Source organism: Homo sapiens, chromosome 12 (genome assembly GCF_000001405.40).
Source record: "Homo sapiens chromosome 12, GRCh38.p14 Primary Assembly".
Lineage (NCBI taxonomy): Eukaryota > Metazoa > Chordata > Mammalia > Primates > Hominidae > Homo > Homo sapiens.
Window position 1 is genome coordinate 43,566,647 of NC_000012.12, and position 5,848 is coordinate 43,572,494.

General features: G+C 38.4%; 1 pseudogene; it reads right to left on the bottom strand.

The window, feature by feature from the left end:
• Nucleotides 3,100–5,544, bottom strand: LOC400026 (THAP domain containing 12 pseudogene; annotated as a pseudogene).

The window sequence follows — 5,848 nt, forward strand, 5'->3', positions numbered from 1 at the left end:
TTTACACCATTTTGCATATTAAGGTCTATATCCTGTTGTACAGTATTATAGGATTATTTAGTAGAAGTATTTTTTCTGACACAATGGATTCACACAAAATACATCAATTGACTTCTATACAGAGTGATGTTTCTAGTCCAGGAAAAATGAAATATAAGTGGAACAGTCAACTGCTTTAGAGGAAATACATTTTTCTAAACAATTATACCATTGTTTCTGTTTAAATGGTTCTTATATTGGAATTGTACAAAGCGTAATGAACTGATGCGTCTTGCTCCTGAAATTTGTCTTTTGGCAAAATGTTCTGGAAAGTAAGTTCTTGATATCTATGGTTTAAGGGCCATATAAGTAAAGTGTTTCCTTCTATACAAAGTATTCAAGTAGTATATTCTGCATTTCAATTTGCTAATGAGACAAAATTTTAGCAGTCTGTTAGGGGTAGAAAAGGTTAAAAGAATTATTACCACTGAGATTTTTTTTTAATTCTACACTAAGGCAAAGATATATTGAACTGAGAAAAAGTAAAAATAATTGTATTTTAAGGAAGTGTTAAACAAAAAATAGACATTATGTGGCATTTAACTACTAGATGGTTTTGCTAGGGAAAAAAAATGGCAGAAGATTAGAGAACACAGGAGCCAGTCTTGGAGTTTGCCCCAGTGACCTGACTGAATGACAAATAATGTGGAACACCACCAACACAGGGAGAAAAAAAGGCAAGGAGACTTTAGCAAGCCAATGAAGGAAGGGAAGACATGGTTTCAAGGATAGAAGAAGAAAGGAGATACTCTCTCCCTATCCAGCTTAAGTTACAAAACTCTGGAAGCAATGGGAGGAGCTAAAATTACAACTCTGTTCTGGCTGGGAAGGTGCCTGGAAATCCATCAGGCTAACATGATAATGATTGAATGGTTTAAATATAAGACTCTCTAATATGTTTGCAAAGAGCAAAGTAAATGCCTGCACTAAGGAGCAGGGATTTGCTGACTCTGAGCAAAAATTCATACAGGCTTTTCCATTCCAGTATACTTCACCACATTTTTTCAAAAATAATAACTATTTATAACCAATATAGCCTAGTAAGAGTGATACTCAAGACATTGTCACACCAAAGAACATGTATGTCAAACCTCTCCTTCTTTTAAGGTCTCTGTTCTCTTACCTGTAAAATCAGAAGATTGGACTGGATAACTTCTGTGACCATTTACACACACGACATTTTATTTTTCTATAATTTTGTGATTTAGAATAAAGTATAAAATATACAAGACCACCTGGGAAGGGAAGAGGTTTCAGGCTAAAGAAGGACAATATGAATATTGAATCTTCATTATGAAGGGAGGGTAGCAAAAAATAGATGTTGCACTTTGGGATATTATATAGGAGCTTCAAGAAATACCTTGTTCCTTGATGAAACAAAGTAAGGTGGAAATAAAAAGCTGAAATCAATATTTTGGTATCCAAAAGAGGCCTACTAAGCTCAAATGAATTACATGTAGTCAATAAAGCTTTACAAACAGCTTAGAGAGAAAAGGGTGCATTACATGGTTTCTTTTGAGAAATTTTGTAGATTATGCTCACTGACTTCTTTTGTTCCAACATTTTACACTGCACACATATATAGAGACTTAAGTATTAGGGTCATTTTAAAAACTGAAATGAACTTATCAAAGTGCATGGTTTCTATTACTGAATATTCTCACCCTCACAAATCGAGATCAAAATTATATTTTATGTAAAGGAATGTACTTTTTATAGAAAATTAAAATAAGATAAATCCCAATAAATAAATTAAGATAAATAAATTCAAATTCACAGGAATTACTTTGAAAATACACCAGCCAAAGGGATGCCTTACATAGTATTTCTTTACTTTCATGGTTTTTGTTTGTTTGTTTTTTTAAACAAAATTCACATTTTATTTAGATTGAAATAAACTACACAAAATTGATTTTCTTCACCAAAAATAACAGCAATATTTTCCATATCTTTCTAGATAAACCTCAACACTTATTTTTGTAGGTTTTCCAGGTTTTTCTTATAAATCAACATGAGGCAGTAGATAAGAGTCATGGAAAAAGACAGAAAAAAAACAGACGAATCAGTTGTCAGTATCCATGGCCTCTGATTCTGCCTTCACCATGAAACAGAAGTGTTCAACATATACCTGCTAAAAAGCTTAGGAGATGTAGGCTCCACAAAGGAATGTAAACAGCAACAACGAGATGTGGGAAAAAAACAGGCTCTTCCATTCAAACTTTAACTTTTGTTTGTTCCTTTAAGTTCATTTGAGAAAGGCAAAATCTACACTGAAGTCCTTGTTTGGAGAGCTCACAAGCTTTTCTCTGGTAATTTCTTGTAACTGTCCAGTATAGATTTTTAACATACTTAAAACTCCTATTAGTCAAAGGTCAGTTGTGGGCTTCACTGTAACATTTTATAAAATGTATTCCTTCCTCCCATACCTCTTCAAAATATATTTCTTCAAAGAATTCATAACACCCAACGAGTAGAGATCCACAGTGATAATAAATGCTATGTCTAAAATGACTTAACTAAGACAATTCCAGAGTGCCGCTAGCAGAGATCACACAGAAGGAAACATGGCACTTTCAGTGTTCTCTTCTGGAAGAACAGATAGGTCTTCAAAGCATGAGAGTTCAAACAGGGGCCATTTAAACAGGTAGATTATCAATGGCTAATGTATTCAGTGGAGTCCTATAGGCAAAGATATTTAGTGATTAAGTGGCCTACATACACCTTATGGCTTTTCTTCCACATATCAAATATGAGAAAGCCAATTTTTTTTTTTTTAGACAGTCCTGCTCTGTCACCCAGGCTGGAGTGCAGTGGTGCGATCTTGGCTCACTGCAAGCTTCGCCTCCCGGGTTCAGGCCATTCTCCTGCCTCAGCCTCCTGAGTAGCCAAGATTACAGGCGCATGCCGCCACCACGCCCAGCTAATTTTTTTGGTATTTTTAGTAGAGACGGGGTTTCACCATGTCAGCAAGGATGATCTCGATCTCCTGACCTCGTGATCTGCCCGCCTCGGCCTCCCAAAGTGCTGGGATTACAGGCGTGAGTCACCGCATCCGGCCAGGAAAACCTATTTTTAAAAGTCTCTTACGTATTTTCCACAGTTTCTGAATTATCTGTGGGAAGCTCTGACTTACTTGTATAGAGTTTAACGTATGTGTCCACCATTAAATCCAGGTCATTTTTTATATCAAAATTTATGTTAAGCAAAGCCAAGTTACTCGACCTTTGGTCTGTCAAAGTGTTCCCCAAATAGGCCTTAAGACGCTTTCATCCGTTTTCATACTGCTCATTCTCAACCTTCATCACAGGACCTTCAGCAATGCATACACATTAGGAAAAAAATGTCAGGCATGTGGAGGGCTTCATAGATGGTGGATGGAAGCTGTATATTTTTCCTCCTGTGTTTCCATTTGATTCTCCAACAATGAAGCTCGGCTGAGACCATGTTGGGATTGGGTAAGTCACTACTATACAGGTCAGCATGGTGTTCCTCCAACGTATTGACTTTGAGTTGTCCCATGACTGAGGGTACCAGAGATAAGCATTTAAGAGCTTTGAGGTGCTGTTCTGAGAATATGTCTTTAAGTTCCTGAATAATGTGCTCCACTGTTGGGACACTTAGGATTTCTTTATAGTAACTCTCAGAGGTTAGCTGAGATTCCAAGTTACCCTGGTGAGCTCTGCGGAATGTCCTAGGGAGTTTCATTTGAATATCAAGTTTGGTTGCCAAATTTGTGGCTTCCTCAAACCAAAATTCATGATAAACTTCAATATTTTCCATCACTTCGTTGAGTGAATGCAATACTGCAGTCAAGCCACCGGCTGCAAAGAAGACATCAGAGGTTTGCGCCTGGAGGTTTTTCCGAAAGGCTCTTGTAAAAGATAGGACACTTTTAAGAACAACAATAGCAACAATGAAATCAAAATCTGTTACTGCACTGCAGAGTACAAATGCTTGGCCAGTTATACAGTTATTCCATTAATATTTGTGTCACTATTTCTACCATCTAAACATAAAACAAGTGCTTGCAGGAGTTCCACTAAAATTTCAAAAGCATTAGGCCTGCCTGTCCACTGAGAATGGCAGATTTCCTTCAGTTCTTTACCCCTTTCTTTACTATTCTGAAAAAAAAAACAACCAGAAATTACATTGTCAAGTTCTAAAAGCAGTTGTGGTGATCCATGGAAAAAAGAACACACTTCCTCAATTGTTCCTAATGCAACAGATACTCCCATAACAGGTACTGATTTTGCCAACCACATATTTAAGGCACAGGAAGAGTAGATTGTGTGGATAGCTTGGGGATATTTCTTTAAAAGTCTGGAAGCAACAATTTTCATTTTGGAAGAAAATCCACTAGACACAATGTAAGCCTGGTCACGACAATACTCCATATTTAATCCCCACTTCTCAGTTATCATAGTGTGAAATTTCACAGCCATAATTTCTGCTTCAGCTTCATAAGGCAGGAAGCCTACAAATTCCTCTCATAGGTTATGAGATTCATCAACAAACCTCACCAACACAGGTAGGTGCTCTTCCTCTGATGTCCACTATGTCGTCAATGACAATGGAAAAGAAGTGTGAGTCTCTCACTTCCCTGAGAGTTTCTTCTCCAATACAGTTCTCACAGATCTCTAGAACTGCCTCTGCTGTGTTTTTGAACAAAACAACATTTTAACTGCTGTTGTCTCAAACCGCTTTCTCAGAACCTCTTCACCAGAATTTATTCCGCACTCCAGCAGTGCTTGAAAGTTATCTGGAGTAGAGACCTTCTGGGATTTCATCAGCTTCATGTCCATCCAGAGGTATGTTTTGCCTTCCCATCAGAATCAAGATTTCAAATAGAGATTTTAGGTATTCCTTGTTTTCCTTCTCTTCAAGGGTTAGAGGCAAAATGTCCTCATCTTGCCCTTCACCCTCTTCTTCACTGGGATTCTGAGCATTGCTATTGTTGGTTTCTTTCTGTTTTTGTTCCTGCTCAGAAGTTTCATCAATTTTTTTTTCTGTTTCAGTGTCCTGATTTCGTCTTCACTCAGTTTTTTATTTGTTTTCTGTGTCTACTACGTGGGTTGTTCAAATGACTGGTAAGATCAAATATTGTTGATATTGCATTATCTCGAAGAACTGTCCTATAAGGACTAGTTCTACAAATCATAGAGGTCGCAAAATGTTTGGCACATAATCGATAACGTTTATTTAGCTGATCATGTGTTTTACCTTCTAAATCTGCTCTCCTACAATTCTCTACCCACTTCTGGCATCTGGCCGGGTACCGCGGGAACCTGAAGAAGGCCACGTCGGACTGTGTGCTCTTCCGCATGCGGTTGAGGGCAGCGCAGAAGTTGGGCACCGTAGCCCGCCCGCCGGCCGGCCCAGCCCTGCCATGCCCGCCTCCTCAGGGGAGTACGCCCGCGCATCGGTGCCGGAGAGGGGAGCCAGGCTGGCCTGCCGGCCGGCTCATCAGGGCCGACGCGCGGGGGAGGGGCGGGCAAGCGAGAAGCCTACTTTCATGGTTTTGTATAAATAAGTGCTATTGTAACTTTCCCTGTCCTTTGAGATGATGCTAAGAATAATACACAAAGATTGTTTGTATACAAAATAGAAATGTTGTTTCAACGCAGACCAGATATTGTCATCTCTCAACATCATCTTTTCTTGATTCTTCCAGAAGAAAACAGAAGTTTTCACAGACACACTGAGCTTGTGCCATATAAACTTGTAAACATTGAAAATACCTAGATTCCCATTTCCTTGAATAAATACAAGATAAGGAGCGGCAGGCTCAGTCATCTATTTTAGAGTGGTT